At 39.8% G+C, this 12,830-nt stretch overlaps 2 pseudogenes, besides 1 other annotated feature; one reads left to right on the top strand and one right to left on the bottom strand.

The window, feature by feature from the left end:
• Window positions 467–1,401, top strand: OR4F8P (olfactory receptor family 4 subfamily F member 8 pseudogene; annotated as a pseudogene).
• Window positions 10,214–10,714: an enhancer, noted in NCBI's record as "H3K4me1 hESC enhancer chr19:146969-147469 (GRCh37/hg19 assembly coordinates)". NCBI's record gives its function as "activates a minimal SCP1, AML or CMV promoter by ChIP-STARR-seq in naive H9 embryonic stem cells {active_cell/tissue: H9 hESC(naive)}" and the evidence as "EXISTENCE:reporter gene assay evidence [ECO:0000049][PMID:30033119]".
• WBP1LP11 (WBP1L pseudogene 11) lies at window positions 11,872–12,378 on the bottom strand (annotated as a pseudogene).

The following is a 12,830-nucleotide window of genomic DNA, read 5'->3' as shown; positions in this document are numbered from 1 at the left end:
CTTACTGCAGGTGATAATCCATCTGTTAATCATGTTTTCCTCTTATGTCTACTTTCTGTCAGAGAATTGTGGCTGCAAACTGGGAAGGGAAGGAAATTATAAGAATATGTATAAGTACAAATGGAATATGTTGGAAATGAGGAATAGTTAATATCGCAGGTCATTTAAACACCTGATGAATTTCATGGATAGTCAGGAATCTTGTTCTTACCTAATCTGTTAATTTTAGATCAGACATTACACTGAAAGTATTGATGATGGGTTTAAATCAGGTTGCAGCTCACATGTTGTGATAATATTATGTTGATTTTTTGTTTTTAATATGTGAGGAACAGAATAACTGTATACTATTTATTCATAGTGACATTGCAATATTGATTTTAGTACATATTATCTTCATAATCACAATTTCCTCCCCATTTTCTTAGTTCTCATAATTTTAGCCACAGCCCAGTTGGCTGGACCAATGGATGGAGAGAATCACTCAGTGGTATCTGAGTTTTTGTTTCTGGGACTCACTCATTCATGGGAGATCCAGCTCCTCCTCCTAGTGTTTTCCTCTGTGCTCTATGTGGCAAGCATTACTGGAAACATCCTCATTGTGTTTTCTGTGACCACTGACCCTCACTTACACTCCCCCATGTACTTTCTACTGGTCAGTCTCTCCTTCATTGACTTAGGAGCCTGCTCTGTCACTTCTCCCAAGATGATTTATGACCTGTTCAGAAAGCGCAAAGTCATCTCCTTTGGAGGCTGCATCGCTCAAATCTTCTTCATCCACGTCATTGGTGGTGTGGAGATGGTGCTGCTCATAGCCATGGCCTTTGACAGTTATGTGGCCCTATTAAGCCCCTCCACTATCTGACCATTATGAGCCCAAGAATGTGCCTTTCATTTCTGGCTGTTGCCTGGACCCTTGTTGTCAGTCACTCCCTGTTCCAACTGGCATTTCTTGTTAATTTACCCTTCTGTGGCCCTAATGTGTTGGACAGCTTCTACTGTGACCTTCCTCAGCTTCTCAGACTAGCCTGTACCGACACCTACAGATTGCAGTTCATGGTCACTGTTAACAGTGGGTTTATCTGTGTGGGTACTTTCTTCATACTTCTAATCTCCTACGTCTTCATCCTGTTTACTGTTTGGAAACATTCCTCAGGTGGTTCATCCAAGGCCCTTTCCACTCTTTCAGCTCACAGCACAGCGGTCCTTTTGTTCTTTGGTCCACCCATGTTTGTGTATACATGGCCACACCCTAATTCACAGATGGACAAGTTTCTGGCTATTTTTGATGCAGTTCTCACTCCTTTTCTGAATCCAGTTGTCTATACATTCAGGAATAAGGAGATGAAGGCAGCAATAAAGAGAGTATGCAAACAGCTAGTGATTTACAAGAAGATCTCATAAATGATACAATAAGCCCTTCTCGTTAAACATGATATGGCTTTATGTTTCTTTCTTTGATATTTTAGATTCAGGAACTATGAGACATTATGTATTGATTTGAATGTTATTAGACCTGTAACATAATTCTTATCTGATGAATATATGATGAATATATTCCTTGTTCAAAATGAGTCATAAATTCAACACATCTCTACATCTATATTATGCCCATTTAATTTCTTTCAGCAATGTTTTGTAGTTTTTGGTGAACAGGTACTTTATGCATATGTACTTTATATTTATCTCTAAGTTTTATATTTCTGATGCCCTTTTAAGTGACATTTTTATTTCAATTTACAATTGTTTATTCTTAGCTTATGGGCACATAATAGATCTTTGTTTGACATTATATCCTGTAAACTTGCAAAACTTATTAGTTCCATCAGTTTTTTATAGGTTATGTAGGATTTTCTTTATAGATGATTATGTTGTCAGTGAATAAAGACATTTGCTTTTAAAATTCTAGTATGAATTCACTATATTCATTTTGTTGAATGCTGAGTAGAATTAGTTAGAGCAGACATCTTTGACTTGTTCCTGTTATGAAATATATTAAATATTTCATCATTAAGTATAATGTTAGCTATAATTTTTTTCATAGGTACTCTTTAACAGGCTGAGAAAGTTTTCTGTATTCACAGTTTGCTGAAAATTTCTTTTATCTTTAGTCAGGAATGGATCTTGGATTTTGTAAAGCTTTTTCATTTCAGAATCAGGGTAATGCTGGCCCTTTAGAATGAGTTGGGAAGCATCTGCTCTTCTTAAATTTTCTGCCATAATTTTGTAGAATTCATATAATTTTTTTCTTTAAAAAGGGAAGTACTTAAGTATTTTTTCCCATAAGTTACCCATAAGTAAATCTAAAGGAAAGTGGGAAACTTTGATACGCATTGGTTGCCCCCTGGTGGAGATTTCTGGGTTCTTGATTATTTTAACACTGGAGATAGAATCTGGTGGAATGATGTCAATGCTACCGTGATTAAGAGGTGTGTAGGAAATGCTTCATGTAAGAGAGAAAATAGTCTTTATGAGAATCTGCCTGGTGGAAAGGAGTTGGTGCAACAATAACAATATAAATTAGTGAAAAATTTTAAATTGACAAATAATAATTGTATCTATGGGGTACAATGTAATGTTTTGATACATGTTTAAATTGTGGAAAGATTAGGTCTATCTTATTGACATACATATCTTTTTTGTGGTGAAAACATTTAAAATCTACTCTGTTAGTCATTTTGAAACATACAATACCTTGTTATTTATTACAGTCACCATTCTGTGCAATAGTTCACTGAAACTTTGTCTAACTGAAACTTTGAACCCTTTTATCAACATCTACCTTTTCCATGTCTACCCCCAACTCCTAGCCTCTGATAATCACCATTCCATTCTCTACTTCTATGAATTCAACTTTTTCAGATTCCACATATCAGTGAGATCATGTGATATTTGTCTTTTCGTGCCTGGCTTATTTCACTTAGCGTGATATCTTCTGGGTTAATTCATGTTGTCACATATATCAGGTTTTCCTTCCTATTAAGGCTGAGTAGTATTCCATTGTATATATACACTACATTTTCTTCATCCATTTGTCAGTTGATAGACACCTGTGTTGATTTCATATTTGGGTATTGTGAATAATGCTGCAATGAACATGAGCCTGGAGATATCTCTTCAGCATATTGACTTAAATTCCTTTGGATATATACAAGGAAGTGGGATTGCTGGATCATATAGTAATTCTAGTTTTAGTTTTTTGAGTAACTTTTATCTATTTTTCATAATAGTATTAATTTACATTTCCACCAACAGTGTACGAGGGTTCCCTTTTCTCTGTATCCTCTTCAACACTTGTTATCTTTTATCATTTTGATAGTAGCCATTCTAACAGGTATGAAGTGGCATCTCACTGTCATTTTAATTTGCATTTCCCTGATAATTAGGATGACAAACTTTTTTTATGTTAGTCATTTGTATTTTTTTTGAGAAATGTCTATTTAGGACCTTGCCCATTTTTTGACTTGGTTATTTGTTTTCTTGATATTGAGTTGAGTCCCTTATATATTTGGAGATTAGCCTTTCATCAGATGTATGCTCTGCAAATATTTTCTCACAACTTGTAGGTTGTCTCTTCACCATATTGTTTCCTTTGCTGTGCAGAAGCTTTTTAGTTTGATGCAATCCCATATATTTTTGCTTTTGTTGCCTGTGCTTTGGGGGTTATATCCAAGAAATCTTTGACCAAACCAACATTGTGGAACTTTTCCCCTATGTTTTCATCTAGTAGTTTTACAGTTTTATGTTTAAACCTTTAATCCATTTTGAATTGATTTTTGTGTATGGTGTGAGATAAGGATACACACCATACACATTCGTGTTCTTCTGCATGTGGATATCTAGTTTTCTTAACACCATTTATTGAAACAAATGTCTATTCTTCATTACGTTTTCTGGGCACCTTTGTCAAAAATTTATTGGTCATAAATGCATGAGTTTATTTCTGGGCTCCTTATTCTGTTCCCCTGGTCAATGTGTCTGTTTTTGTGCAAGTGTCATGTTGTTTTGATTACTATGGTTTTGTGATACGTATTTGTTTTGGGGGGGGATCGATTTTTATTTGGGTTTCTCACAGTGGTTAGAGAACAACCACAGCACAGGAAATGCATCGCCAAGATTGCCCAGAAAACTGACCAGCTGCATCTTATTGCTTAAAAATACACATATTCACAATAACTGACAAATGTTGATGTGCCTCACACAGGAATGTGTTCACATTTGCAATGCTGTGTACAGACTTCACTTCGTTCAACATAGATTTTGGTTTAATGGAATTCAAATGCGGATGCTTGTTCACAGCCTTGGATTTGTCTGTTTTTGGAGAGATACAACCTCCATGAGTATATCTGCATGAAAACCACAGACAATGAAGGTATTTCTTCATTGATTTATTTATTCTTTTGACTGTAGCAACAAACCCTGGATGACACCCTTCCTTTTAATTCACCTGGAAACCAGACTCAATCAAATCTCCCTGGTCCCCTCACTATTCCTTCAAATTCCCTATTTCTATCTCTTCCTGAGGAGGGTAACCTCCTGTAGCAGGGGTCAGACTGTGACTTGGGAATCAAGCCTAGGTCTGCAGGTTGCCTTTTCATCTTCTTGTAAAATATTGTAGGACACTGCAGTGAATCCAACAGTTAACACTCAGAGCAGTTCCCTGCTCTAACTCAGGAAAGAGACTTCAGAGGGTCAGGATTCATCCATTTGATCAGTTAACTGAGAAGGATTCATTTTGGTAAAACTTGTTCAGCTTTGAGACACTTCAGTGAGTTGTTTGAGATTTTTTTTTAAATTATATTTTAAGTTCTGGGGTACATGTGCAGAACATGCAGGATTGTTACATAGGTATACACGTGCCATGGTGGTTTGCTGCACCCATCAACCCATCATCTACATTAGGTATTTAACCCAATGCTAACCTTCCCCTAGCCCCTACCCCCAGACAGGCCCCGGTGTGTTGTGTTCCCCTCCCTCTGTCCATGTGTTCTCATTGTTCAACTCCCATTTATGAGTGAGAACATCGGGTGTTTGGTTTTCTGTTCTTGGATTAGTTTGCTGAGAATGATGGTTTCCAGCTTCATCCATGTCCCTGAAAAGGATATGAACTCATCCTTCTTTATGGCTGCATAGTATTCCATGGTGTATATGTGCCACATTTTCTTTATGCAGTCTATCATTGAATGGGCATTTTGGTTGGTTCCAAGTCTTTGCTATTGTGAACAGTGCCACAATAAACATATGTATGCATGTGTCTTTATGGTAGAATGATTTATAATCCTTTGGATATATACCCAGTAATGCGATTGCTGGGTCAAATCATATTTCTAGTTCTAGAACCTTGAGGAATCACCACACTGTCTTCCACAATGGTTGAACTAATTTACACTCCCACCAACAGTGTAAAAGCATTCTTATTTCTCCACATCCTTTCCAGCATCTGTTGTTTCCTGACTTTTTAATGATCGCCATTCTATCTGGCGTGAGATGGTATCTCATTGTGGTATTGATATGCATTTCTCTGATGACCAGTGATGATGAGCTTTTTTTCATATGTTTGTTGGCTGCATAAATGTCTTCTTTAGAGAAATGTCAGTTCATATCCTTCACCCACTGATGGGTTTGTTTGTTATTTTCTTGTAAATTGTTTAAGTTCTTTGTAGATTCTGGATATTAGCCCTTTGTCAGATGGATAGATTGCAAAAATTTTCACCCATTCTGTAGGTTGCCTGTTCACTCTGATGACAGTTTCTTTTGCTGTGCAGAAGCTCTTTAGTTTAATTAGATCCCATTTGTCTATTTTGGTTTTTGTTGCAATTGCTTTTGGTGTTTTAGTCATGAAGTTTTTGTCCATGCCTATGTACTGAATGGTATTGCCTAGGTTTTCTTCTAGGGTTTTTTATGGTTTTAGATCTTATGTTTAAGTCTTTAATACATCGTGAGCTAATTTTTGTGTAAGGTGTAAGGAAGGGATCCAGTTTCAGTTTTCTGCATATGGCTAGCCAGTTTTCCCAACACCATTTATTAAAAAGGGAATCGTTTCCCCATTGCTTGTTTTTGTCAGGTTTGTCAAAGATCAGATAGTTGTAGATGTGTGGCGTTATTTCTGAGGCCTCTGTTCTGTTCCATTGGTCTACATATCTGTTTTGGTACCAGTACCATGCTGTTTTGGTTACTGAAGGCTTGTAGTATAGTTTGAAGTCAGACAGCGTGATGCCTCCAGATTTGTTCTACTTGCTTAGGACTGTCCTAGCTCTGCGGGCTCATTTTTGGTTCCATATGAAATTTAAAGTAGTTTTTTCCAATTCTGTGAACAAAGTCAGTGGTAGCTTGATGGGGATAGCATTGAGTCTATAAAAACTTTGGGCAGTATGTCCATTTTCATGATATTGATTCTTCCTATCCATGAGCATGGAATGTTTTTCCATTTGTTTGTGTCCTCTCTTATTTCCTTGAGCAGTGGTTTGTAGTTCTCCTTGAAGAGGTCCTTCACATCCCTTGTAAGTTGGATTCCTAGGTATTTTATTCTCATAGTAGCAATTGTGAATGGGAGAGTTCACTCATGATTTGGCTCTCTGTTTGTCTGTTTTTTGCATATAGGAATGCTTGATTTTTGCACATTGATTTTGTATCCTGAGACTTTTCTGAAGTTGCTTATTAGCTTAAGAAGATTTTGGGCTGAGACCATGGGGTTTTCTAAATACACAATCATGTCATCTGCAAACAGAGACAATTTCTTTCTCTTGCCTGATTGCCCTGGCCAGAACTTCCAATACTACGTTGAATAGGAGTGGTGAGATAGGGCATCCTTGTCTTGTGCTGGTTTTCAAAGGGAATGCTTCCAGTTTTTCACCATTCAGTATTGGCTGTGGGTTTTTCATAAATAGGTATTATTATTTTGAGATATGTTCCATCAGTACCTAGTTTATTGAGAGTTTTTAGCATGAAGGGCTGCTGAATTTTGTCGAAGGCCTTTTCTGCATCTATTGAGAGAAGCATGTGGTTTTTGCCATTGGTTCTATTTATATGATGAATTATGTTTATTGATTTGCGTATGTTGAACTAGCCTTGTATCCCAGGGATGAAGCCGACTTGATTGTGGTGGACAAGCTTTTGATGTGCTGCTGGATTTGGTTTGCCAGTATTTTATTGAGGATTTTTGCATCGATGTTCATCAGGGATATTGGCTTGAAATTTTCTTTTTTTTGTGTGTGTCTCTGCCAAATTTTGGTACCAGAATTATTCTGGCCTCATAAAATGAGTTAGGGAGGATTCTCTCTTTTTCTGTTGTTTGGAATAGTTTCAGAAGGAATGGTACCAACTCCTCTTTGTACCTCTGGTAGAATTCGGCTGTGAATCCATCTGGTCCTGGACTGTTTTTTGGTTGGTAGGCTATTAATTACTGCCACAATTTCAGACCTTGTTATTGGTCTATTCAGGGATTCAACTTCTTCCTGGTTTAGTCTTGGGAGGGCGTATGTGTCCAGGAATTTGTCCATTTCTTCTAGATTTTCTAGTTTGTGTAGAGGTGTTTATAGTATTCTCTGATAGTAGTTTGTATTTCTGTGGGATCAGTGGTGGTATCTCCTTTATCATTTTTTATTGCATCTGTTTGATTCTTCTCTGTTTTCTTCTTTATGAGTCTGGCTAGTGGTCTATCTATTTTATTGATATTTTCAAAAAACCAGCTCCTGGATTCATTGATTTTTTTTTGAAGGTTTTTTTGTGTCTCTATCTCCTTCAGTTCTGCTCTGATCTTAGTTATTTATTGTCCTCTGCTAGCTTTTTGTATGCTCCTGCCTCTTGAGTTCTTTTAATTGAGATGTTAGGGTGTCAATTTTAGATCTTTCCTGCTTTCTCTTGTGGGCATTTAGTGCTATAAATTTCCCTCTACACACTGCTATAATTGTGTACCAGAGATTCTGGTATGTTATGTCTTTGTTCTCATTGGTTTCAAATAACTTATTTATTTCTGCCTTAATATCTTTATTTACCCAGTAGTTGTTCAGGAGCAGGTTGTTCAGTTTACATGTAGTTGTGTGGGTTTGAGTCAGTTTCTTAATCCTGAGTTCTAATTTAATTGCACTGCGATCTGAGAGACTGTTATGATTCCCATTTTTTTTTGCATTTGCTGAGGAGTGTTTTACTTCCAAATATGTGGTCAATTTTAGAATAAGTGCAATGTGGTGCTGAGAAGAATGTATATTCCGTTGATTTGGGGTGGAGAGTTCTGTAGCTGCCTATTGGATCCACTTGGTCCAGAGCTGAGTTCAAGTCCTGGATATCCTTGTTAACTTTCTGTTTCGTTGATCTGTCTAGTATTGACAGTGGGGTGTTAAAGTCTCCCACTATTATTGTGTGAGGGTCTAAGTCTCTTTTTAAGTCTCTAAGAGCTTACTTTATGCATCTGGGTGCTCCTGTGTTGGGTGCATATATATTTAGGATAATTAGCTCTTCTTGTTGCATTGATCCTTTTACCATTATGCAATGCCCTTATTTGTCTCTTTTGATCTTTGTTGGTTTAAAGTCTGTTTTATCAGAGACTAGGATTGCAACCCCTGCTTTTTTTTGCCTTCCATTTGCTTGGTAAGTATTCCTCCATCCCTTTATTTTGAGCCTATTTGTGTCTTTGCACGTGAGATGGGTCTCCTGAATACAGAACACTGATGGGTCTTGACTCTTTAGCCAATTTGCCAGTCTGTGTTTTTTAATTGGAGCATTTAGCCCATTTACATTTAAGGTTGATATTGTTATGTGTGAATTTGATCCTGTCATTACGATGCTAGCTGGTTATTTTGCTGTTAGTTAATGCAGTTTCTTCATAGTGTCAACGGTCTTTACAATTTGGTATGTTTTTGCAGTGGCTGATACCAGTTGTTCCTTTCCATGTTTAGTGCTTCCTTCAGGAGCTCCTTTAAGGCAGGCCTGGTGGTGACAAAATCTCTCAGCATTTGCTTGTCTGTAAAGGATTTTATTTCTCCTTCACTTATGAAGCTTAGTTTGGCTGGATATGAAATCCTGGGTGGAAAATTCTTTTCTTTAAGAATGTTGAATATTGGCCCCCATTCTCTTCTGGCTTGTAGAGTTTCTGCTGATAGATCTGCTGTTAGTCTGATGGGCTTCCCTTTGTGGGTAACCTGACCTTTCTCTCTGGCTGCCCTTAACATTTTTTCCTTCATTTCAACCTTGCTCAATCTGATGACTATGTGTCTTGGGGTTGCTTTTCTTGAGGAGTGTCTTTGTGATGTTCTCCATATTTCTGAATTTGAATATTGGCCTGCCTTGCTAGGTTAGGGAAGTTCTCCTGGATAATATCCCGAAGAGTGTTTTCTAACTTGGTTCCATTCTCCCCATCACTTTCAGGTACAGCAATCAAACGTAGATTTGGTCGTTTCACATAGTCCCATATTTCTTGGAGGCTTTGTTCATTTCTTTTCATTCTTTTTTCTCTAATCTTGTCTTCTTGATTTATTTCATTAAGTTGATATTCAGTCTCTGATATCTTTCTTCCGCTTGACCGAATCAGTGCTTGATCCTTGTGCATGCTGCATGAAGTTCTCATGGCGTGTTTTTCAGCTCCATCAGGTCATTTATGTTCTTCTCTAAACTGGTTATTCTAGTTAGCAAGTGGTCTAGCCTTTTTTCCAGGTCCTTAGCTTCCTTACATTGGGTTAGGACATGCTCCTTTAGCTTGGAGGAGTTTGTTATTACCTACCTTCTGAAACCTACTTCTCTCAATTCGTCAAACTCATTCTCTGTCCAGTTTTCTTTTGTTCCCTTGCTGGTGAGGAGTTGTGATCCTTTGGAGGAGAAGAGGCGTTCTGGTTTTTGGAATTTTCAGCCTTTTTGCTCTGGTTTCTCTCCATCTTCATGGATTTATCTACCTGTGGTTTCTGATGTTGGTGACCTTCTGATGGGGTCACTGAGTGGCTGTCCTTTTTGTTGATGTTGATGCTATTCCTTTTTGTTTGTTAGTTTTCCTTCTAACAGTCAGGCCCCTCTGCTGCAGGTCTGTTGGGGTTTGCCCTAGGTCTACTCTAGACCCTGTTTGCCTGGGTATCACCAGCAGAGGCTGGAGAACAGCCAAGATTGCTGCCTGTTTCTTCCTCTGGAAGTTTTGTCCCAGAGGGGCACCCACCAGATGCCAGCCAGAGCTCTCCTGTATGAGGTGCCTGTTGGCACCTACTGGGAGGTGTCTCCCAGTCAGGATACACGGGGGTCAGGGACCCACTTGAGGAGGCAGTCTGACCCTTATCAGAGCTCGAATACTGTGCAGGGAGATCTGCTGCTCTCTTCAGAGCCATCAGGCTTTTCAAAGATGCTTTAAGTCTGCTGAAGCTGTGCCCACAGCCGCCCTTTCCCCTAGGTGCTCTGTTCCAGGGAGATGGGGGTTTTATCTATAGGTCTCTGACTGGGGCTGCTGCCCTTTTTTCAGAGATGCCTTGCCCAGAGAGGAGAAATCTAGAGAGGCAGTCTGGCTGCTGTGGCCTTGCTGAGTTGTGGTGGGCTCCACCCAGTTCAAACTTTCTGGTGGCTTTGTTTACACAGTGGGGGTAAAACTGCCTACTCAAGCCTTGGCAATGTGGAAGCCCCTCCCCCCACCAAGCTCTAGTGTCCTAGGTCAACCTCAGACTGCTGTGCAAGAATTTCAAGCCAGTGGATCTTAGCTTGCTGGGCTCTGTAGGGGTGGGACCTGCCGAGCCAGACCACTTGGCTCCCTGGCTTCAGCCCCCTTTCCAGGAGAGAGAATGGTTCTGTCTTGTTGGCATTCCAGTTGCCACTGTGGCATGAAAAAAAAAAAACCTCCTGCAGCTAGCTCGGTGTCTGCCCAAACAGCTGCCTAGTTTTGTGCTTGAAACCTAGGGCCTTGGTGGCAGAGGCACTGGAGGGAATCTCCTGGTCTGTGGATTGTGAAGACCATGAGAAAAGCATAGTTTCTGGGTGGAGTGCACCGTTCCTCATGGTACAGTCCCTCGGGGCTTCCCTTGGCTAGGGGAGGGAATTCCCCCAACCCCTTGCACTTCCTGGGTGAGGCAATGCCCCATTCTGCTTTGGCTCACCCTCCGTGGGCTGCACCCACTGTCCAACCAGTCCCAGTGAGATGAACCAGGTACCTCAGTTGGAAATGCAGAAATCACCTGCATTCTGCATTGATCTCACTGGGAGCTGCAGACTGGAGCTGTTCCTATTTGGCCATGTTGCCAGCAAATTCTGAGATTTTTTTCAAAAGTGCAAAGAAAGACATCTGAGGGGTGCTGACATATTCGGGTCACCTCAAGCCACATGCCAGCTTGCTTGCCCCTGTTGGATTCAGCAGAGGGAGATAGGCCTTGCCATACCTGTGGTGTCTGCCAAAGCTTCCTCCTGGCAATTCTTGGGAGTGCTGATACCTGGGCCACAGTTAGTCCAAGTTTATCACTGAAGATCCTATCAAAGTTTTGTCTGAAATTCCACTTTTGCCTTTTGTCCTAAGTGGTTGTGGACATCTCCAGGGGCTGATACCAAGGACTAGGAACAGCTGAGGGAGGCAGAAAGGTTCAGAGTACATCTCTATTTACAGGGAACAGAACACCGGCCTCCGAGAGTCCATGGAGCAATGGGAAAATTGCAGTGATTACTCATCACTGTGAAACTTCTACTTTGAATACAGTATCTTCTGGCAAGCATAGGGGACTGCAGTCGACAATGCTGCTGAATATACCTGAGTACATAGTAAGACATTTGTTTGGTAAACAGTCAATGCATACAATAAATTACCTTGAGAGGGCCATCTGTGCTCCAGATGTGAGAGTTCATGTGAATAGAATGGCTGCAATTCAAAGAATCTTCACAGGAAAACAGGGCTCAGAGCTCATCCACAATGGACAGACAGGGAGGGAAACAGGTGGAGGTTAGTTCACCACTTCCTCATAAGAAGGTAATAAATAGTTTGGTGAAATAAAATGGTAGCACTGAGTAATTGCGGGCTTCTGGATAGGCAGTCAGGTTGATTTCATGTTGCTACTGCTGGACTTGAGGGCTGGCTTGGCTGTGGTGGCAGACACAGCAGCAGCTCAGGATGATGGTGATGGTCCACGCCAGCCAGAACCACCAATGTTCATAGTAGTAGTTACAACACTGAGACTGCCCATAGCAGTGTCCTGTTGTGTCACAGATGTAGCTTTGATTGTTGGTACACACACAGGCTTCCTTATCCTGTGGGGGTTCAGCCCTGGCTGACACAGGGCTGGGCAGTGCCTAGAGGTGCAAGAGCTCCATGCCACCCAGGAGTCTTCCCTCCATACTCCTCCTGCTCCTCCGACCCAGCGTGGGCACCTCCCTCCACCCTTGCTGCACTTCTCCTCTACCCTCTTCTTCCTTCTTTTGTTCTTTTCCTGTAATATGTTTTGAAGTCAGATTGTGAGGCCTTCAGCTTTGTTCTTATTGCTCAAGAGTCCTTTAGTTATTCAGGATCCTTTGTGGTTCCATATAAATTTTCAAATTGTTTTTTCTATTTCTGTGAAGAATGACATTGAAATTTTGATAAATATTGCATTAAACCTATAAATCGCTTTGGGCAGTAAGGACATTTTAAGAATATTAATTCTTCCTACCCATGAACATAAAATATCTTTCCATGTATTTGTGTCATCTACAATTTTTCATCAATGTTTTATAGTGTTCAGAATACAGATCTTTCACCTCCTTGGTTAAATGTACTCCTAAGTACAATCCTAAATGTGCTCCTAAACAAAAAAAATACGTTTTTTTTGATGCTACTGTGAATGAGATTGATTTCTTTATTTTTGTCATATAGTTTGTTGTGAGTGTAAAGAAACTACTGAGTTTTG

Source organism: Homo sapiens, chromosome 19 (genome assembly GCF_000001405.40).
Source record: "Homo sapiens chromosome 19, GRCh38.p14 Primary Assembly".
NCBI lineage: Eukaryota > Metazoa > Chordata > Mammalia > Primates > Hominidae > Homo > Homo sapiens.
This window is presented reverse-complemented; position numbering and strand designations above follow the sequence as displayed.